The sequence below is a fragment of the Homo sapiens genome, chromosome 7 (assembly GCF_000001405.40).
Source record: "Homo sapiens chromosome 7, GRCh38.p14 Primary Assembly".
NCBI classification, from domain to species: domain Eukaryota; kingdom Metazoa; phylum Chordata; class Mammalia; order Primates; family Hominidae; genus Homo; species Homo sapiens.
The window spans coordinates 112,685,937-112,709,234 of record NC_000007.14 but is presented as its reverse complement, the minus strand read 5'-3'; the positions used below and the strand labels follow the sequence as shown (position 1 = coordinate 112,709,234).

Below are 23,298 nucleotides of genomic sequence, written 5' to 3'. Positions count from 1 at the left end.
AGGTTGCAGTGAGCTGAGATTGCGCCACTGCACTCCAGCCTGGGTGACAGAGCAAGACTCCATCTCAAAATAAAATAAAATAAAAATGCTATCTGTGGAATAAATTGGACAGGGCTCTAAAGGGAAGTTCAGTCATCAATGTCAGTGGCTCTCTAGGGAGCTTGCAGAAAATGCAGATTCTCTGGCTTTTCTCTCAGATCAGATTCCTTAGACCAGTTGCAGTCCACCAGGTGATTCTAATGCTACTGATCCATGCACAGTTGTTTGGGGATCTCTGCTGATGTGCTAATTACACAACCCTGAATCTTATCTATTTATTAAAATGCCCCTAAGGACTTCTAGTCCCATAATAACTAGAATTTAGAAATGCTTTTAGAAACGCTTTGTGAAACTTGGAACTGCTAGTTGTTCACACTGGAAATTTATCATTTACTGATTTATCACCACTGCGATTATATTGGATTAGTAAAATTTCATTAGCAATTTGGCTTCACCTACTCCCCCACAGACCTTATCGCAAGACAGTGTAGCTTGGCCCCACTTCAAGCTCTCAAAACAGTCCTTAATCAGTAAAATTTAAGAAACAAATGATTTCACAACTGTACCTCATGTCTGGATGTCCTGGAAATGGCCCCAGTTCCAGTAGCAGAATCTTTGTACTCCAGTCCCAGCACAAGGGTCTTTCCTGGTTCGTTTTCAATTTCATCACTGATCTTTTTGTGTTGTGGAATCCCAAAGGCTGAAATTCCACCAATGAGCCAGCAGTGGGCCTTCTGAGCTTCCTGAATTGACCTCTGACCTTTGTGTGCTACAAGATTCCCTGAATGGTTCACCTGTGCACTGATTACCTCAGATGATCCATTGAGAGAACTTCCTTAATTACCTGCTACAGCCTGCTGGTTCTAACTATTCTCTATGGCCTGCCCCCAGCCCAGTTCAAGTTCTAATAGAGATTTTGTTTCTTACAGCTTTGAAAATTCCCAAGCATACAGGGTTTTCTGAAACAATCTCTCTGGCATATTTAAAATATATTAAATCTTTTTGTTTGTCACCACATAAAAATCACTTATCATAGAAAAAGCACCTCCAAACCAACTTAAAAAATAAAATGAGCTATTAAAATCAAAACCTTCACATTCTTAAAAGAACTTTAATTTTCTGATTTTTTTCAAGAGAGCTCTGTATTTTATTCAAATTCATGAATAATGGATGACATTTCTTTTTAAGTGTCTCATTATGTTTGCAGCATACAAATACAAAGTTTCTTAAAATGGCCTCCTGTCAAATACATATGATTTCTATTTGTCTACTGTTAATGTAATTGACTAAACACTCGATTCTACTGATTAGGCTTTCCCTTGTAAACCACTTACTTTATAGGCATAAGCAGCTGTGTTTATGCTTCTGTGATTTTCTGGTTTCATTATGAAGTTTTCAGCATGCAATTCAAGAGCCATAGGCAGTCTATGCACCCAGGCACCAGCTGGCAAGATCTTTACTGAAAAAGGCAATATTCTGTCAACACTTGTAAATGTCATATAGAAGAATACACGTATGCATATATAAAATCACTGCAGCCACAATAATTGTGAACATGAACAAGAAGAAAACATTAACTTTTCAGAAAATAATTGATCAACAGTCAAAGACCTGAATTTAACCAAGAGCACAAGTGCTTCATCTCCTGCCCTTCTCTCAAACCGAGAACTATGAAGAATTTTGTTTTTTTAAGTTAGGAGTTTGGTATAAATATTCAGAGACAGTGGAGTTAAGAAAGCCAGGCAGAGAGAAGGGAAAGGGAGAAAGGCTGATAGAGAAAGCAGCTATTAAGAGGATAAAGAGGAAATCTATGCAAAGATATAGCAAGAAAAGAAAAAGGAAGGAAACTGGGAGGAAACTGACTAAGGTAAAGAAGAAATAGAGAGTGGCAAAGAGGCTCAAAATTATCACCCAGGAGGTATTTGCTATCAGTGCCTCCATAACACTTTATTAAACAACAACTCCTCACATCCCCCTCCACCCATCCCCTGGTAACCACTATTCTATTGACTAGTTCAGTGGATATAAAGTTATACAAGTGAGTAAGCTCCAGATATCTGCAATACAACATGGTGCCTACAGTTAACGATGGAGTATTGTGCACTTAAAAATTTGTTGAGAGTAGATCTCACGTTAAGTGTTCTTACCACAAAACAACAAAACAAAACACACAAAGCGACACAAGGAAACTTTTAGAGGTGATGGATGTGTTTATTAACTGAATTGTGGTGATGGTAACATAAGTATATACATATGCCCAAACTCACTAAATTGTGTATGCGAATTATATACATCTCTATTTGTACATTTATTATAGTTGAATAAAGCTGGAAAAAATAAGACATTATACCTTAAAAACACACTTTATTACACAATAAGTTTAATTATTCTTCTCATGAAGAATAATGCTGGAGAAAAAGCTGGTTTGAAATCTGGTTCTGCTGTCTACCATTGGTGTGGCCACACAGAACTTCCATGACCTCTTCAGGTTTCAGTTTCCTCACATGTTAAATAAGAATGGGTAGTACTTGGCCAGGTATTGGTAAGGACAAAACAAGATAACAAGGCAGTATTAATAGCAAGGCAGAGTGAGTTTGAATCCCATCTTCTAGCTGGGTGACCATAAGCAAGTTACTAAGCTGTCTATGCTTGGTTTCTTTCTTCAGGACAGGGATAATAAAAATAATGCCTATGCACATGTGCCTGCTATAAGGACTGACTGGCAAATAAATGTTTTAAAACATGAAGAACAGTGTCTTGGTACTTGGTGATTACTCAATAAAATGTTGGCTCTTAGGAATGAGAGTAGGTGCTCAAGGGATGGGACTGATGGTGACATCTCCTTCACAGGAGGGTGGACACCATTTTTGTTTTTCTTTTTTTTTTTTAATCCTGCTGTCTTACTGGTAAGCACTGTAAGCCCTTGGTGAAAGTGTATTGTGCCATCAGAAATGATAGGAAGCTTTTCTCTCACACCTTTATTTGTTGTGTGCATTCCTCTATTAACGACACTTACCTTTGCCTCGTGTAATGCTGATTAGATGATTATGTAGGTTTTTGACTGCTCTTTTCTTTGAAAAATATTTTTCATTGCGTAAGAAATATATGAATACCTTCTCTTGGTTTTAAAAAAAGTGTATAAGGCTAAAATCAACTTCTAAGTTGAAACTCTATTCTAGATTCTTCCCCAAGGGCAACCTTTACATTGATTTTGATGATTATTCATTCATGCCTTATGTTTTACATATATATGAATTTACATGTATGTAACTATGTCATTAGGGTTCCACCAGATAAATAGATTCTTTTCATGTCCATGTGATCAGTAATTATTACCCCTCTTTCATATCTGATATTAGTAATTTGCATTTTCTCTTTTTTCCTTGGTTTCTGGCTAGAGGTTTATCAATTTTATTAATCTTTTCAAATAGCCAGCTTTTGGTTTTGTTGACTTTCTCTATTGATTTCCTGGTTCCAGTTAATTAATTTCTGCTCCAAATTTTATTATTTCTTTTCTTCTGCTTGCTTTATGTTTATATTGCTTTTCCTCTAGTTTCTTGAGGTGGAAGCTTATATTATTGATTATAGATTCAATGCATTCAATGCTAAAATATTCCCTCTAAGCACTGCTTTTGCTGCATTCTACAAATCTCGACAAGTTGTATTTTCATTTTTATTCAGTTCAAAACATTAACAAATTTCTCTTAAGACTTAAATCCATGTTTTATTTAGAAGTCTATTGTTTAATCTCCAAATACTTAGGAATTTTCTAGTGCTCTTTCTGTTATCGATTTCTACTTTATTTCTTGGTGGTCTAAGAGGATATAGGAATGATTTCTATTATTTTAAATTTGTTTAACTGTTTTTATGGCCCAGAATTTGGTCTGCCTTGGTGACTGTTCCATGTGAACTTGGGAATAATGTATATCCTGCTGTTGTTGAATGAAACAATCTATATATGTCAATTAGATCCAGTTCATTGATGGCTCTGTTCAGTTCAATTTTATCCTTAACTGCTTTTCTGCCTGTTGGATCTGTCCATTTCTGATAGAGCTTCCTTTGGTTGGTGTAACATGGTATATTTTTCTCCATCCCTTTACTTTTAAAATGAGCCTTTTAACTTAGACTGAGTTTTCTGTAGACAACATACTGTAGGATCTTGTTTGTTCATCCATTCTGACAGTCTTTGTCTTTTAATCAGTATAGTTAGACCATTGAAATTTAAAGTGATTATTGATATAGTTGGATTAATATCAACCATATTTGTTAGTGTTTTCTATTTGTTACCCTGTTCTTTGTTTTTCTATTTCCTGCTCTTTTTCCTGCCATCTTTGGTTTTAATTGAGCAATTTATATGATTCCCTTTTCTCTCCTCTTATAGAATATCAGTAGTACTTCTTTCAAAAAATGTTTAAGGGGTTGCCCTAGAGTGTGCAATATACATATACAGTTAATCCAAGTTCACTTTAAAATAACACTATACTGCTCCATGGGTAGTGCAAATACCTTATAACATAGTATTCTCAATTTCCCCCTCTTGTCCCAACACTGCTATCATCTATTTCACTTATCCATAAGCTATAATTACCAAATACATTGTTGCTATTACTATTTTGAACAAACTGTTATTGGTTATATCAATTAAAAATTTGAAAAATAAAAGATTTTAGTTTCATTTATACCTTCTTTAATACTCTTCCTTTCTTGTAGATCCATGTTTCTGAATTATGTCATTTTCCTTCTTTCTAAAAAACTTCTTTTAGGGTTTCTTGCAAGGTAAGTCTACTGGCAACAAATTCCCGCCATTTTCGTTAGTCTGAGAAAGTCTTCATTTCTCCTTCACTTTTGAGGGATAATTTTAATAGACACAAAACTGTAGGTTGGTAGGGGCTCCTCCTTCCACACCCACCATGCCAAAACTTTAAAATTTCACCCCACTCTATTCTTGCTTGCAATGGTTTCTGATGGTAAATCTGTGTAATTCTATTTTTTTTCTTCTATAGGTAAGGTGTTTTCCCCTCTGGCTTCTTTCAAGATTTTCTCTTTGTCTTTAATATTCTACAGTTTGAATATCATATGCCTAAGTATAGTTCTGGTTTGGTTTGGTTTCTGGTTTTGTAGGGTCAGGGGAGTTGGCATTTATCCTGCTTGGTATTCTCTGAGCTTCCTAGAGCTATGATTTGGTGTCTGTTATTAATTTTAGAAAATTCTCAGCCATAATTACCCCAACTATTTCTTCTACTCTTTTTTCTTTGTATTGCTTTTGGCATTCTCATTATAAATATATTACAACTTTTGTAATTACTGGATTATTGTTCTCAAATATACTATTCTTTTATTTTCATTCTTTTTTTTCTCCTTGATTTTCAGTTTGAAAAGTTTCTATGAACACATCTTCAAGCTTTCTTTGGTGATATCCAGTCTACTGATGAACCCATCAATGGCATCTTTATTTCTTTTATACTGTTTTCTATTTATAGCATTTTCTTTTTATTCTTTCTTAGTGCTTCCATCTCTCTGCTTATACTACTTATCTATTCTTACATATTGTATACTTTTTTATACTTTTTCCATTAGACCCCTGATATGGTTAGGCTTTATGTCCCCACTGAAATATCATCTGGAATTGTAATCCCCATAATCCCCATTTGTCTAGGGAGAGAGCTGGTTGGCGGTGATTGAATCATAGGGGGCAGTTTCCCCCATGCTGTTCTCATGGTAGTGAATGAGCTATCATGAGATCTGCTGCTTTTATAAGAGGACCTTCCCCTTTCATTACTCACTCTTTTCTGATGCCAAGCTCTTCCCAGGGTTCTCTACGTCATGGTCGTTACCTGGGAGTCTGCCCTACTCTCCAAGGTGCTTTACCGACCAAGAGGAAGAAAACTCCTGTGCCCCTGCAGTGTTATTGTTTGTACCCTCAGAATTTGAAGTGTCTTATTTCTAAATTTTCAAGTAATCAGAATAGAGTCCAATCGATACATGCATGTATATGTTTAACAATAAATAACTTGCTATTTCTGGCATTCAAGGGTGGTCACCAACTAAAGTCTTCAACATAAGGCAAGTATAGGGGAACAGGTTACAAAGTAATATGGAATATCTTCTGCCTAGAAAAATAGGTAGGAAAATGTATGAGTATTTGTTTAAGCATCTGTTTAATAAACTCGATATCCTAGTCCCTTTGTTTTGTTTGTTTGTTTGTTTGAGAAAAAGTCTCATTCTATTGCCCAGGCTACAGTGCAGGGGCACAATCTCCACTCACTGCAACTTTCACCTCCTGGGTTCAAGAGATTCTCCTGCCTCAGCCTCCCGAGTAGCCGGGATTACAGGTGTCCACCATCACACCCGGCTAATTTTTGTATTTTTAGTACAGACGAGTTTTCGCCATGTTGGCCAGGCTGGTCTCTAACTCTTGACCTCAAGTGATCTGACCTCAAGTGAGGCTGCCATCTCAGCCTCCTAAAGTGCTGGGATTACAGGCGTGAGCCACTGCACCCAGCCCCTTTGTTTTATAAGTAAATTTCGCTTCTTCTTTAACATGAAAGAATTTTAGTTCTATATAAATTAGGTAGCCTCCTTAGAATAATGCAACTTTAAAATAAATCTAAAGGTTGTATTAACTGTGATCTTTTTGACTTTGGTATATGGTTTCCTAGAAAATAATTTTTAAAAAAGATCTGTGTAGTCATTTAAATACTTAGCACTGATGGGTAAGATGAGAGAGTTTATCATCAGTGGATATAGTTAGGCTTTCTTCCTGAAAACTATGATTCTCTTTTCAAAATAAATTTTTATCTTCAGTTGAACCAAGAAGGAAAATTTCCTTATCTCTTCCAACCACTAAGAGAGAAAAAAATTCTAAAAGTAATACATTATTACCAGCACTAGAAAATAAAAAAAGAGGATAAGAACATTTGAGAAATACCTGAAAAGTAAAAAGCAGGCAGGATAAGATCTCTGGGAAAATATAGGAAATGACAGCCCAAAATAAGCCCCAAACAGTAGATTGCTGCAGCTATAGTGATAGTTTCAGAGAAACTTCAAGTTCAGGATCATAGGACACAAAGAATGAAAGGAAATCATGGGGCTAATTTTAGAGTGGCCAAATGGGTCTCTGCAGGTGGAACACTGCCCCCTCCTCTGCTTCCTCTTGCTGAACAGTGTGTGTCTCCTAGCTGGGGAAGTCTTTTGGGGTTTTTCTGTTTTGTTTTGTTTTGTTTTGTTTTGTTTTGTTTTAGAAACAGGGTCTGTTCTGTCACCCAGGCTGGAGTGCGGTCGTACAATCATAGCTCACTACAGCCTCGAACTCCTGGCCTCAAGCAATTCTCCTGCTTTTGCCTCCCAAAGTGCTGGGATTACAGGCATGAGCCGCTGCACCTGACCCTGTTTGTTTTTTTGAAGTTGATGAGTGATATCTTCCTATAGACTGAAATACAACTATCCCTCCAGTATCAGTGAGACAAGGCGGTGCCCCAGTAAGTTTTACTGTTTTACTGCTAGTATTACTGCCTATCACCCCTCCAGGAAATGAGTCTCACACCCAAAGATCAATTGTGGCACGCCCTTTTCAGCATGTCTTGCCCTTCCCCCACAATGACCAGAGGCAGCCTAAATAGAATAGCCAGACTGTCAGGTTGAAAGGTGTGAGGAGGTAGCACTATTCACATTCCTCCTGATTCCATGTGAAGTTACTTTGGCTAGACTAACATGGCCTCCTCTATGCCATATTGCCCACATATTTTTTCCATGACTTACCCAATTGACTTAGTGTCTGTTTAGCGATAAGGAATTCCTATTTGCTTCCTGTGAATAGTATTTCTACAAACCTTTTAAAATAAAACAAAATGATATCAATAAACTAAAGTCAGAGTCAGTCAAGTACAGCATAAAGATGTGAAGAATAGCAGAGTTAAGCAATAGTTGGTTTTTGTCTCCTTTTAAAATGAGTTTGCTCAGGGGACATACAAATCTAAATTATTCCCAGCTTCTCTAACCATATCCAAGGGGTGTATCAGTCTGTCTATTCATTACTCTTTATATCTATCTGGAGGATAATATTCTGCTTTATCTAGCAGGCAACTAATCTGAGTGAGACAATTTACAAGATTTGGGATTCACTAGTCAAGAAAACGCTTAAATATCTCTGGTGACACAGAGCTTTGCTAGACCCCTGTCTGACCAAGAGATCTTCATGCTGTCTTAGGGTAACCTTGGGAGTCAAGAAGACATGATATGCTCATGCTAGACTAATGTTTGTTTTTCCATGGGGTCCCCAGCTTTCCGAGGCCAAGCTCTTCCCAGGTTTTCTCTACTTGATGGTCCTTACCTGGGAGTCCGCCCTACTCTCCAAGTTGCTTTACCAACCAAGAGGAAGAGAACTTCTGTGTCCCTGCAGTATTGTTTGTACCCTTAGTATTTAAAGTGTCTTATCTCTAAATTTCCAAGTAGTCAGAGTCCAATCGATACATGTATGTGTATGTTTAACAATAAATAACCTGCTGCTTCTGGCATTCAAGGGTGGTCACCAACTAAAGTCTTCAGCGTAAGGCAAGTATAGGGGAACAAGCCACCAAAGTGAAGTAGTTATGCATATTAAACATTTGATGATATGTCCGACAGGGAGCCATAAAGATCCTATTGCAGTCTGGTTACCAGTCTCAACTGGAATGTGTCCATGGACCAGAGGACAAATTTCATTTAAGAGAAACAACAGAAGGTAACACAACCAAGATCCATTGCTTTTTAGTTTCTCTAATCCTAATTCCTGCCTTTGAAGTTCAGCAAATTATTTTATCTTATTTAAGAGCTCCTTTTAAGATAATCACACAAATGATAAATGCACATAATCACCTCGCCCAAGCCAGCATATCAATGCATTTGTGCAGTGCAATCAATTCTCCAAATGCTTCCCCTATCTTGCTTTCATTCCTTATCAAATGATCCTTTCAAAAAAAAAAAAAGTGTAGCCTGAGGAGAGTAAGGAGACTACGTGGAGGAAAACTGTGAACCTCAAGAATTAGGTTCACAGAAAGAAAATTAAAAGGTAGATGGCTAGATTTTAGGGATTACATGTTAGGATTAAACAATGCCCCCTAAAATGCTTGATAATAATCTGGTAAATTTGAAAGTCTCTAATGATAATTTGGTAAGCTCTCCGCCAGAGTGGCCCCTGAGGTCATGACTGCTTATGCTCCTGCAGTGGCCACTGATGGTAGGAGCCATATTTTGATGTCTGAAGGGTGAAGGTGACTTTCACAAGAGGGTATTTGTATTAGTCTGATAGGGTTGTCATAACAAAGTGCCACAGCTTGGGCAGTTTAAGCAACAGAAATTTACTTCCTCATATCTGTGAAGCTTAAAATTCCACAGGGAATTTTAACCTTTGGCAGGGTTGGTTTCTTCAAAAGGCTTTTCACCTTGACGAGATGGTCATTTTTCCTTGTGTCTCCACATGTCATCTCTCTGTGCATGCCTGTGTTCTAATCTCCTCTTCTTATAGGGACATCCTTAATGTTGTATTAGGGCCCACCGATATGACTTTTTTACCTTAATTACATCTTTAAAGGCCCTGTCTTCAGAAACAGTCACATTCTGAGGTATTGAGGATCAGAATTTTAACATATGAATTTGAGGGGGATGCAATTCAGCTCTACTCCAAATTTCTTTGTACCTTTATCCATCCAGTTTTCTTTCCTTTGTTTCTTTTCTCTGAGGTCCTTCCATCTGCCCAAAGCCAATTCCTCTATGTTTGTGTTTGCTTCTATGGCCAGGCAGGAGAGTCACTTGAACCCAGGAGGCGGAGGTTGTGGTGAGCCAAGATTGTGCCATTGCACTCCTGCCTGGGCGACAGAGTAAGACTCCGTCTCAAAAAGAAAAAAGAGAAAGTTTATTCAAAGGAATAACAACAGAGAACTCCCCAAACCCAAAGAAAGTTATCAATATCCAAGTACAAGGAGGTTATATTACATCAAGCAGATTTAACCCAAAAAAGACTACTTCAAGGCATTTAATAATCAAACGCCCAAAGGTCTCTTGCATGTAAAAGCAGCAAGAGAAAAGAAACAAGTAATATATAATGAAGGTCCAATATGCCTGGCAACAAACTTTTCAGTGGAAAATTTATAGGCCAGGAGAGAATAGCATGATGTATTCAAAGTGCTGAAGGAAAAAACTTTACCCTAGAATAGTATATCTGGTGAAAATATTCTTCAAACATGAAGATGAAATAAAGATTTTCCCAGATAAACAAAAGCTGGGGGATTTCATCAATATCAGACCTGCCCTATAAGAAATGCTAAAGGGAGTACCCCAATCAGAAGGAAAAGGACATTAATGAGCAATAAGTAATCACCTGAAACTACAAAACTCACTGGTAATGGTAAATACACAGAAAAACACAGAATATTATAACACTGTAACTGTAGTGTGTAAACTTATCATAAGTAGAAAGACTAAAAAATGAACCAATCAAAAATAATAACTACAACTTTCCAAGACATAGTACAATATGATATAAATAGAAAAAAACAGATAGTTAAAAAGCTGGGGGGTTGGGATGAAGCTCAGGGCAGAGTTTTTATAAGTTTTCCTTTTACTTGTTTGTTTATGTGAACAGTGTTAAGTTGTTATCAGGTTTAAATAATTGGTTGTAAGATAGTATTTGCAAGCCTCATGGTAACCTCAAACCAAAAAACATAACAATAGATACACAAAAATTAAAAGCAAAAAACTAAATCATATTATCAGAAAAAATCACCTTCACTAAAGCAAGACAGGAATGAAAGAAAGAAAGAAGACCACAATACAATCAGAAAAACAAACAGAAAAATGCCAGGAGTAAATTCTTACTTATTAATAATAACATTGAATTTAAATGGACTAAACTCTCCAATCAAAAGGCTGAATGGATGAAAAAACAAGACTCATTGATCTGTTTTCTACAAGAAACACACTTTACCCATAAGAACAAACACAGACTGAAAATAAAGGGATGGAAAAAGGTATTCCATGCCAATGTAAACCAAAAAAGAGTAGGGTAGCTATATACTTATATCAAACAAAATAGATTTTAAGACAAAAACTGTAAGAGTCTCCCTCTCCCTCTCCCTCACCCCCCCTCCCCTCCTCCTCCCCCTCCCTCTCCCTCTTCCCACGGTCTCCCTCTCCCTCTCTCTCCACGGTCTCCCTCTGATGCCAAGCGGAAGCTGGACTGTACTGCCGCCATCTCCGCTCACTGCAACCTCCCTGCCGGATTCTCCTGCCTCAGCCTGCCCAGTGCCTGGGATTGCAGGCGCGCGCTGCCACGCCTGACTGGTTTTCATATTTTTCTGGTGGAGACGGGGTTTCGCTGTGTTGGCCGGGCTGGTCTCCAGCTCCTAACTGCGAGTGATCTGCCAGCCTTGGCCTCTCGAGGTGCCGGGATTGCAGACGGAGTCTCGTTCACTCAGTGCTCAATGTTGCCCAGGATGGAGTGCAGTGGCGTGATCTTGGCTGGCTACAACCTCCACCTTCCAGCCGCCTGCCTTGGCCTCCCAAAGTGCTGAGATTGCAGCCTCTGCCCGGCCACCACCCTGTCTGGGAAGTGAAGAGCGTCTCGCCTGGCTGCCCATCGTCTGGGATGTGAGGAGCCCCTCTGCCTGGCTGCCCAGTCTGGGAAGTGAGGAGCGCCTCTTCCCGACCGCCATCCCGTCTGGGAAGTGAGGAGCGTCTCTGCCCGGCCGCCCATAGTCTGAGATGTGGGGAGCGCCTCTGCCCTGCCGCCCCGTCTGGGAAGTGAGGAGCCCCTCCGCCCGGCAGCCGCCCTGTCCGGGAGGGAGGCGGGGGGCAGCCCCCGCCCAGCCAGCCGCCCCATCCGGGAGGGAGGCAGGGGGCAGCCCCCGCCCGGCCAGCCGCCCTGTCCGGGAGGGAGGTGGGGGGTGCCTCCGCCCGGCCGCCACCCCGTCCAGGAGGTGGGGGGCGCCTCTGCCCAGCTGCCCCTTCTGGGAAGTGAGGAGCCCCTCTGCCTGGCCACCACCCCGTCTGGGAGGTGTACCCAACAACTCATTGAGGATGGGCCATGATGATGATGGTGGTTTTGTCGAATAGAAAAGGGGGAAATGTGGGGAAAAGATAGAGAAATCAGATTGTTGCTGTGTCTGTGTAGAAGAAGTAGACATAGGAGATTCCATTTTGTTCTGTACTAAGAAAAATTCTTCTGCCTTGGGATGCTTTAATCTATAACCTTACCCCCAACCCCGTGCTCTCTGCAACATGAGCTGTGTCCACTCAGGGTTAAATGGATTAAGGGCGGTGCAAGATGTGCTTTGTTAAACAGATGCTTGAAGGCAGCATGCTCGTTAAGAGTCATCAACCACTCCCTAATCTCAAGTATCGAGGGACACAAACACTGCGGAAGGCGGCAGGGTCCTCTGCCTGGGAAAACCAGAGACCCTTGTTCACTTGTTTATCTGCTGACCTTCCCTCCACTATTGTCCTGTGACCCTGCCAAATCCCCCTCCTAGAGAAACACCCAAGAATGATCAATAAATACTAAAAAAAAAAAAAAAAAAAAAGCTGTTGGCAACTCAGTATTACATATACAGATGGATGTGGCTCAACAAGAATTTAGACAAAAATATTGAACTGTAACGTGTTGCCATGATTTAGTCTCTAATGAGGTTATAAATAAATCCATATTTCAGCACATATAAAAAAAAACTATAAGAGACAAAGAAGGTCACTATATAATGATAAAGGGGTCAATTAAGCAAGAGGATATAACAGTTTTAAATATATATCCACCCAATGCTGGAGCACCCAGATACATAAAGACAATATTATTAGAGATAAAAAGAGATACCCCAATACAATAATAGCTGGAGACTTCAACACCCCACTTTCAGCATTGGAAAGATCGTCCAGACAGAAATTCAACAAAGAAACATCAGATGAAATCTGCATTATAGACCAAATGGATCTAATAGATATATACAGAGCATTTCATCCAAGAACTGCAGAATACACATTCTTTTCCTCAGCACATGGATCATTCTCAAAGATAGACTATAATTTAGATCAGAAAACAAGTCTTAAAACATTCAAAAAAAACCTGAAATAATATCAAGCATCTTCTCTGACCACAATGGAATAAAACTAGAAATCAATAACCAGAAGGCTTTTGGAAACTATACAAATACATGGAAATTAAACAATATGCTCCAGAATAACCAGTGGGTTAATGAAGGAATTAAAAAGGAAATTGAAAAATTTCCTTTTCATTTATCATTTAAATGATAATGGAAACGTAACATACCAAAATCTACAGGATACAGTAAAACCTGTACCAAGAGGGAATTTTATAGCTATAAGTGCCTACATTAAAAAAACAGAAAAAAAACTTCAAATGAACACCGAACGATACATCTTAAAGATCAAGAAAAGCAAGAGCAAACCAAACCTAAAATTAGTACAAAAAAATAAATAATAAAGATGTGAGAAAAAACAAATGAAATTGAAATAAAAAATACAAAAGATCAATGAAACAAAAAGATGTTTTGAAAAGTTTAACAAAATTGACAAACTTTTAGCCAGACTAATTAAGAAAAAAAGAGAGATGATACAAACAAATAAAATCAGAAATGAAAAATGAGACATTACAGCTGGTATCGCAAAAGTTCAAAGAATCATTAGTGGGTACTATACACAACTATATGCTAATAAATTGGAAACTCCAGGAGAAATGGGCAAATTCCTAGATACATACAACCTATGAAAAGTGAACCAAGAAGAAATCCAAAACCTCAATAGACTGATAACAAGTAACATGATTGAAGCCATAATAAAAAGTCTCCCAGTAAAGAAAAGCCCAGGACCTGATGGCTCCTCTGCTAAATTCTACCAAACATTTAATGGAGAATTAATACCAATTCTACTCAAACTATTCTGAAAAATGATTTTTCAGAAAAATAGAGTAGGAGAAATACTTCCAAACTCACTCTAGAAGGCCAGTATTACCTTGATACCAAAACCAGACAAAGACACGTCAAAAAAGAATAGGCTAATATCTCTGAAGAATATTGATGCAAAAATTCTCAGCAAAATACCAGAAAACTGAATTCAACAATACATTAGAAAGATCACTCATCATGACCAAGAGGGATTTATCCCTGAGAAGCAAGGATGGTTCAACATAGGCAAATTAATCAATGTGTTATAGCATATTAACAGAATGAAGGATAAAAACCATATGATCATTTCAATTGATGCTGAAAAAACATTTGATAAAATTCAACATTCCTTCATGATAAATCCCCCTCTCCCCCCCCAAAAAAAACAGTATAGAAGGAAAATACCTCAACGTAATAACTATATACAACAGACCCACATATAATATCATACTGAATAGAGAAAAATTGAAAGTCTTTCCTCTAAGATTTGCAACATGACATGGATGCCCACTGTCACCACTATTATTTAACATAGCACTGGAAGTCCTAACTAGAGCACTCAGACAAGAGAGGCATCCAAGCTGGAAAGGAAGAAGTCAAATTATCCTTGTTTGCAGATGATATGATCTTATTTTTGGAAAAACCTAAAGACTCCACAAGAAAATTATTAGAACTGATATATTCAGTAAAACTGCAGAATACAAAACCAACATACAAAAATCAGTAGCATTTGTATATGCCAACAGTGAACAATGTGAAAAAGAAAAAAAAGTAACTCCATTTGCAGTAGCCACACATAAAATTAAATACCTGGGAATTAATCAAAGAAGTGAAAGAGCTCTATGAAACAGTGATGAAAAAAATTGAAGAGGATACCAGAAAATGGAAAAATATTTCATGTTAATGGATTGGAAGAATGAATATTTTTAAAATGTCCATACTACCCAATGCAATCTACAGATTCAATGCAATTACTATCAAAATACCAATGACAGTCTTCACAGAAATGGAAAAAACAATCCTAAAATTTATATAGAACTACAAAAGACCCAGAATAGCCAAAGCTATCCTCAGCAAATAAACAAAACTGGAGGAATCATGTTACCTGATTTCAAATTATACTACAGAGCTACAGTAACCAAAACAGCATTGTACTGGCATAAAAACAGACACATAGGCCAATGGAACAGAATAGAGAACCCAGAAACAAATCCACACACCTACAGTGAACTCATTTTTGAAAAGGTGCCAAGAACATACGCTGGGGAAAAGACAGTCTCTTCCATGAATGATGCTAGGAAAACTGGATATCCATATGCAGAAGAATGAAACTAGACCCCTATCTCTCACCATATACAAATATTAATAAAAATGGATTAAAGACTTAAATCTAAGACCTCAAACTATGAAACTACTACAAGAAAACATTGGGGAAAATCTCTAGGACACTGGTCTGGGCAAAGAATTCTTGAGCAATACCCCACAAGCACAGGCAACCAAAGCAAAAATGGACAAATGGGATCACATCAAGTTAAAAAGCTTCTGCACAGCAAAGGAAACAGTCAACAAAATGAGGAGACAACTCACAGAATGCAAGAAATATTTGCAAACTACCCATCTGACAAGGAATTAATAACCAGAATATGTAAAGAGCTCAAACAACTCTACAGGAAAAAATATTTAATAATCTGATCAAAACATGGGCAAAAGATTTGAATAGATATTTCTCAAAAGAAGACATAAATGGCAAGCAGGCATATGGAAAGGTGCTCAACATCACTGATCACAGAGACATGCAAATCAAAACTAAAATAAGATTTCATTTCACCCCGGTTAAAATGGCTTTTATCCAAAAGAGAGGCAATAACAAATGCTGGATAGGATGTGAAGAAAAAGGAACCCTTGTACAATGTCAGTGGAAATGTAAATTAGTACAACGACTATGGAGAATAGTTTGGAGGTTCCTCAAAAAACTAAAAATTGAGCTACCATATGATCCAGCAATCCCACTCCTTGGTGTATATCCAAAAGAAAGGAAATCAGTATATCAAAGAGATATCTGCACTCCCATTTGTGTCAGCACTGTTCACAATAGCTAAGATTTGGAAGTAACCTAAGTGTCCATCAACAGATGAAAGGATAAAGAAAACGTGGTACATATAAACAATGGAGTACTATTCAGCCATAAAAAAGAATGAGATCCGGTCATTTGCAACAACATAGATGAAACTGGGGATCATTAAGTGAATTAAGCCAGGCACAGAAATACAAATATCACATGTTCTCAATTATTTGTGGGATCTAAAAATTAAAACAATTGAACTCATGGACAGAGAATAGAAGGATGGTTACCAGAGGCTGGGAAAGGTAGTGGGGAGTATGGGGGGGAGGTGGGGATGGTTAATGGGTACAAAAAGTAGAATGAATAAGACCTACTATTTGATAGCATAAGAGGATGACAATAGTCAATAATAACTTAATTGTACATTGTTAAGTAACTTTAAGAGTGTTATTGGATTGTTTTTAACTAAAAAGATAAATGTTTGAGGGTATAGATACCCCATTCTCCATGAATAAAAAAACAACAAGAAAAAACCGAGACTGGCACTGCTGACATTTTCCTGAAGCAGTTCCCACTCTTTGCTCTGGCCATGCCTATTCTTGGCTCTCCTCTCACAGCTCAGCTCTTGACCTACTCTTCACCCTGTGGTCTCTCAGTTGGTGACCTTAACTGCTCTAATGGCTTCAATAAAAACCTCTGTTCAAATATTTACCAAATCAATATAATTTGCTTTGACCTAAGCTGCTGACCCACGTTATCAACTGCTCTCTAAGTAGCTCCACTTGGGTGCATGACTGGCACCATCCACACACCATGAGCAACACCAAATTAATCATTTCTCCCTAATACCCACATATTTTCAACAAACAAATTGAAATTTTTAAAAAGCAAGAGGGAAATAAAAGGGAAACCTACAGATTCAAATAGATTTAAGAGACATATCAGCCTTGTAGATTACATGTTGAACCTGATTCAAACAAGCTGGAAAAAATTGTAATACAAACAGGAAAATTTGAACACTACATAGAATTATAGTTCAATTTGTTTAGGTGTGATAATGGTATTAAGTTATGGTTTTTAAAAGTCCATTTTTCTTGAGATACATGCTAAAATATTTATGGATGAAAGATGTGATGTCTGAGAGTTTTCTTCACAGTAACATGGCAGAAAAGGGAGGGGGGGTTATAAATGCCGTAAGACTAGACATGAAGCTGGTAGTGCCTACCTACAGGTTCATGCACATACTTTTTTCTACTTAGGCATTTGTTTAAAGTTTTCTATGATAAAAAGGCTGAAAATTTTTTTTAAAAGATCAAAAAGTCAATTAAATTTAAAAACCTATATGTCTTCTCACTCTCCTAATTTTGACCGATTCTTCTTTTTCATCTGTGTTATTTCACTATTCTTTGCCTTCTCCCTACAACCCCAAACACATAGGAACTGTGTTAAGCCCAGTTTGTTTTCCTTCTAAAGCATACTTGGTTTCCTTCCTCCTTTTTTAATTTTTTTCTAATCATTCCCTAGGTGCACAGGACCTCATTTTCCTTCATCTGTGATAACTTCCTGTCTCCTAACCCTGTCTTTCCTAAGAGAATAGTTTATTCTAACCAGAACAAATATTATTGTAATCAGAATAAAATAATAGTGTAATTCCACTTGTATTTCCAGGCCACTCCTTAGAACAGACTTATTTTGAAAAAATAAAACGATCTGTGGCAGGACTAAATACCTAGAATGAAGCATGAAATGACTCTGGCTTTGGGGTGGTCGGGGAGAGAACGGGGAAAGAGGCTTGGGACTTGATTTGCTATTTCATTCCAAACTTGGGTTACATTTTTCTAATAATTGTTAACTAGGCAGAGACAACTGAGTGCACTGGTTAAGAGCCAGACAGTCTCTTAGTTCCATGCCTCAGTTCCCTCCAAAGTAAAATGAAAAAATAATTGTACTTATCCCAAGGGTTATTATGAGGACTAATTGAGCTAATATTTATAAAGTGTTTAAAATAGTGCCTGGTACATAGTAAACACTATATAAAGCTGATGAACTATAACTTCTTTGACAAATTAGTAAATCCTCCCCTTAAAGACAAAAATTGCCACACCACATTGGTTTTTAGAATATTCTCTTTTAAAAATAACCCTCACTCAGGTTGTGAGGTTTTTTCCTAGGTCTTCAAAGATGGGTGCATTCCCAGGACGTGCATAAGATGATTTGGGGGGAGGGTGTGCAGAAGAAAAGACATCTCTTCATATTTTTGTTCTTAAAAATAATACATTAGGCTTTTTGTGTTAATTATTCAGAGATACTCTGGAGCCCCCATTCTTTCTACATGTGAGTCTGTCAAAATGGAAGGAAGACATCTTAAAGGAAGAATAAATGTTCTATAACGTGGTTGGGGAGCAGGGTGTAATAGTTGTGTTTATCCTCATTTTTTTAGCTTTCAGTGTGTTGAATATATTATAGTTATGTGTGCCAGAAAAAGGAGTTTACAGATTATAATTTTAATGAAACTTACCTTTACAAAATAAATAAACAGCTTTAAAAGATTTCTGCAAAGAAAACAGGAAATAGGAAAAATGACAGTTCAAGATGGCTGAATAGGAACAGCTCCAGTCTGTAGCTTCCAGCAAGATCAGCGCAGAAGGTGGCTGATTTCTGCATTACCAACTGAGGTACCCAGGTCATCTCATTGGGACTGGTTAGACAGTGGGTACAGCACACAGAGGGCGAGCTGAAGCAGAGTGGGGCATCACCTCACCCAGGAAGCACAAGGAGTCGGGGAACTCCCTCCCCTACCCAAGGGAAGCTGTGAGGGACCCTGCCGTGAGAAACGGTGTGTTCTGGCCCAGATACTGTACTTTTCCCATGGTCTTCACAATCCACAGACCAGGAGATTCCCTTGGGTGCCTACACCACCAGGGACCTGGGTTTCAAGCACAAAACTGGGTGGTGATTTCGGCAGACACTGAGCTAGCTGCACGAGTTTTTTTCATATCCTAGTGGCACCTGAAATGCCAATGATTCAGAACCATTCACTCCCCTGGAAAGGGGGCTGAAGCCAGGGAGCGAAGTGGTCTAGCTCAGCAAATCCCACCCCCATGGAGCCAAGCAAGCTAAGATCCACTGGCTTGAAATTCTTGCTGCCAGCAGAGCAGTCTGAAGTTGACTTGGGACACTTGAGCTTGGTGGAGGAAGGGGCATGCCATTACTGAGGCTTGAGTAGGCAATTTTCCCCTCACAGTGTAAACAAAGCCGCAGGGAAGTTTGAACTGGGCAGATCCCACTGCACCTCCACAAAGCTGCTGTAGCCAGACTGCCTCTCTAGATTCCTCCTCTCTGGGAAGGTCATCTCTGAAAGAAAGGCAGCAGCCCCAGTCAGGAGCTTATAGATAAAACTCCCATCTCCCTGGGACAGAGCACCTGGGGGAAGAGGCGGCTGTGGGCACAGCTTCAGCAGACTTACACATTCCTGCCTGCAGACTCTGAAGAGAGCAGCAGATCTCCCAGCACAGCAATTGAACTCTGCTAAGGAACATACTGCCTCCTTAAGTGGGTCGCTGACTCCTGTGCCTCCTGACAGGAAGACACCTCCCAGCAGGGGTCGACAGACACTTCATACAGCAGAGCTCTGGCTGGCATCTGGTGGGTGCCCTCTGGGATGAAGCTTCCAGAGGAAGGAACGGGCAGCAATCTTTGCTGTTCTGCAGCCTCTGCTGGTGATACCCAGGAAAACAGGGTCTGGAGTGGACCTCCAGCAAACTCCAGCAGAACTGCAGCAAAGGGGCCTGACTGTTAGAAGGAAAACTAACAAACAGAAAGGAATAGCATCAACATCAACAAAAGGACGTCCACACAGAAACCCCATCTGCAGGTCACCAACATCAAAGACCACGGATAAATCCATGAAGATGAGGAAAAACCAGCGCAAAAAGGATGAAAATTCCAAAAACCGGGAGGCTTCTTCTCCTCCGAAGGATCACAGTTCCTTACCAGCAAGGGAACAAAACTGGACGGAGAATGAGTTTGATGAATTGGCAGAAGTAGGCTTCAGAAGATGGGTAATAAACTCTTCTGAGCTAAAGGAGCATGTTCTAACCCAATGCAAGGAAGCTAAGAACCTTGAACAAAGGTTAGAGAAATTGCTAACTAGAATAACCAGTTTAGAGAACATAAATGACCCGAGGGAGCTGAAAAACAAAGCAGGAAAATTCATGAAGCATACACAAGTATCAATAACTGACTCGATCAAGCAGAAGAAAGGATATCAGAGATTGAAGATCAATTCAATGAAATAAAGTGAGAGGACAAGATTAGAGAAAAAAGAAAGAAAAGGAACAAACAAAGTCTTCAAGAGATATGGGAGTATGTGAAAAGACAAAACCTACATTTGATTGGTGTACCTGAAAGTGACAGGGAGAATGGAACCAAGTTGGAAAACACTCTTCAGGATATTATCCAGGAGAATTTCCCCCACCTGGTGAGACAAGTCAACATTCAAATTCAGGAAACACAGAGAACACCACAAAGACACTCCTCGAGAAGAGGAACCCCAAGACACAGAATCATCAGATTCACCAAAGTTGAAATGAATGAAAAAATGTTAAGGGCAGCCAGAGAGAAAGGTTGGGTTACCCACAAAGGGAAGTCCATCAGACTAACAGCGGATTTCTCAGCAGAAACCTTACAAGCCAGAAGAGAGTGGCGGCCAATATTCAACATTCTTAAAGAAAAGACTTTTCAACCCAGAATTTCACATCCAGCCAAACTAAGCTTCATAAGTGAAGGAGAAATAAAATCCTTTACAGATAAGCAAATGCTGACAGATTTTGCCATCACCAGGCCTGCCTTACAAGAGCTCCTGAAGGAAGCACTAGATGTGAAAAGGAAAAGCCAGTACCAGCCACTGCAAAAACATACCAAGTTGGAAAGCCCATCAACACTATGAAAAAACTGTATCAACTAATGGGCAAAATAACCAGCTAGCATCATAATGACAGGATCAAATGCACACATAACAATATTAACCTTAAATGTAAAGGGACTAAGTGGTCCAATTAAAAGACACAGACTGGCAAATTGGATAAAGAGTCAAGACTCATCAGTGTGCTGTATTCAGGAGACCCACCTCATGTGCAAAGACACACATAGACTCAAAATAAAGGGATAGAGGAATATTTACCAAGCAAATAGAACGAAAAAAAAAACAGGGGGTGCAATCCCAGTCTCTAGAAAGACTAGGAAGTCAAATTGTTTGCAGATGACTTGACTGTGTATTTAGAAAACCCCATCATCTCAGCCCCAAATCTCCTTAGCTGATAAGCAGCTTTAGCAAAGTCTCAGGATACAAAATCAACAGAGTTTAAACCAACAAAGATCAAAAAAGACAAAGAAGGGCATTACATAATGGTAAAGGAATCAACGCAACAAGAAGAGCTAACGATCAGGAATATATATGCACCCAATACAGCAGCACCCAGATTCATAAAGCAAGTTCTTAGAGACCTGCAAAGAGACTTAGATTCTCACACAATAATAGTGGGAGACTTTAACATCCCACTGTCAATGTTAGACAGATCAACAAGACAGAAAATTAACAAAGATATTCAGGACTTGAACTTAGCTCTGGACCAAGCAGACCTAATAGACATCTACAGAACTCTCCACCCCAAATCAACAGAATATACATTCTTCTCAGCACCACACCACACTTATTCTAAAATTGACCATGTAATTGGAAGCAAAACACTCCTCAGCAAATGCAAAAGAATAGAAATTATAACAAACAGTCTCTCAGACTACAGTGCAATCGAATTAGAACTCAGGATTAAGAAACTCACTCAGAACCACAAACTACATGGATACTGAACAACCTGCTGCTGTATGACTACTGGGTAAATAATAAAATTAAGGCAGAAATAAATAAGTTATTTGAAACCAATGAGAACAAAGACAAAATGTGCCAGAAACACTGGGACACAGCTAAAGCAGTATTTAGCAGGAAATTTATAGCACTAAATGCCCACAGGAATAAGCGGGAAAGATCTAAAATTGACACCCTAACACCACAATTGAAAGAACAAGAGAAGCAAGAGCAAACAAATTCAAAAGCTAGCAGAAAACAAGAAATAACCAAGATCAGAGCAGAACTGAAAGAGATAGAGACACGAAAAACCCTTCAAAAAATCAGTGAATTCAGAAGCTGGTTTTTTGAGAAGATTAAGAAAATGGATAGACCACCAGCCAGATTAATGAAGAAGAAAAAAAAGAAGAATCAAATGGACACGGTAAAAAATGACAAAGGGGATAGCACCACTGATGCCACAGAAATACAAACTACCATCAGAGAATACTATAAATACCTCTATGCAAATAAACTAGAAAATCTTGAAGAAATGGATAAATTCCTGGACACATACATCCTCCCAAGACTAAACCAGGAAAAAGTCAAATCCCTGATAGACCAATAACAAGTTCTGACATTGAGGCAGTAATTAATAGCCTACCAACCAAAAAAAGCCCAGGACCAGATGGAGTCACAGTTGAATTCTACCAGAGGTACAAAGAGGAGCTGGTAATATTCCTTCTGAAACTATTCCAAACAATATAAAAAGAGGGACTCCTCCCTAACTCATTTTATGAGGTCAGCATCATCCTGATACCAAAACCTGGCAGAGACACAACAATGAAAAAAGAAATTTCAGGCCAGTATCCCTGATAAACATCCATGAGAAAATCCTCAGTAAAATACTGGCAAACCGAATACAGCAGCACATCAAAAAACTTATCCACCACCATCAAGTCAGCTTCACCCCTGGGATGCAAGGCTGGCTCAACATGCACAAATCAATAAACATAATCCATTACATAAACAGAACCAATGACAAAAACCACATGATTATCTCAATAGATGCAGAAAAGTCCTTTGATAAAATTCAACACCCCTTCATGCTAAAAACTCTCAATAAACTAGGTATCAATGACATGTAGGTCAAAATAATAAGAGCTATTTACGACAAACACACAGCTAATATCATACTGAATGGGCAACAGCAGGAAATATTCTCTTTGAAAACCCACACAAGACATGGTTGCCCTCTCTCACCACTCCTATTCAACATAGTATTGGAAGTTCTGGCCTGGGCAATCAGGCAAGAGAAAGAAATAAAGGGTATTCAAATAGGAAGAGAGGGAGTCAAATTGTCTACATGCAGATGACATGATTGTATATTTAGAAAACCCCATCATCTCAGCCCAAAATCTCCTTAA

General features: G+C 38.7%; 1 long non-coding RNA gene across 1 annotated transcript in view, besides 1 other annotated feature; it reads right to left on the bottom strand.

The window, feature by feature from the left end:
- Positions 1-1,162: 1,162 nt before the first annotated feature.
- The window catches only part of LOC101928012 (uncharacterized), an 85,692-nt gene continuing 63,556 nt past the window's right edge, over positions 1,163-23,298 (bottom strand). The window contains exons 6-8 of the long non-coding RNA NR_110158.1: positions 9,713-9,905; positions 7,798-7,868; positions 1,163-1,498 (exon numbers count right to left, since the gene is read on the bottom strand). This is a non-coding gene — a long non-coding RNA (uncharacterized LOC101928012). The remainder of the gene's footprint in view (positions 1,499-7,797; positions 7,869-9,712; positions 9,906-23,298) is intronic.
- Positions 16,524-16,749: a silencer, noted in NCBI's record as "fragment chr7:112332541-112332766 (GRCh37/hg19 assembly coordinates)". NCBI's record gives its function as "represses an EF-1alpha promoter that drives an FKBP-Casp9 reporter gene in an ReSE screen in K562 erythroleukemia cells {active_cell/tissue: K562}" and the evidence as "EXISTENCE:reporter gene assay evidence [ECO:0000049][PMID:32094911]".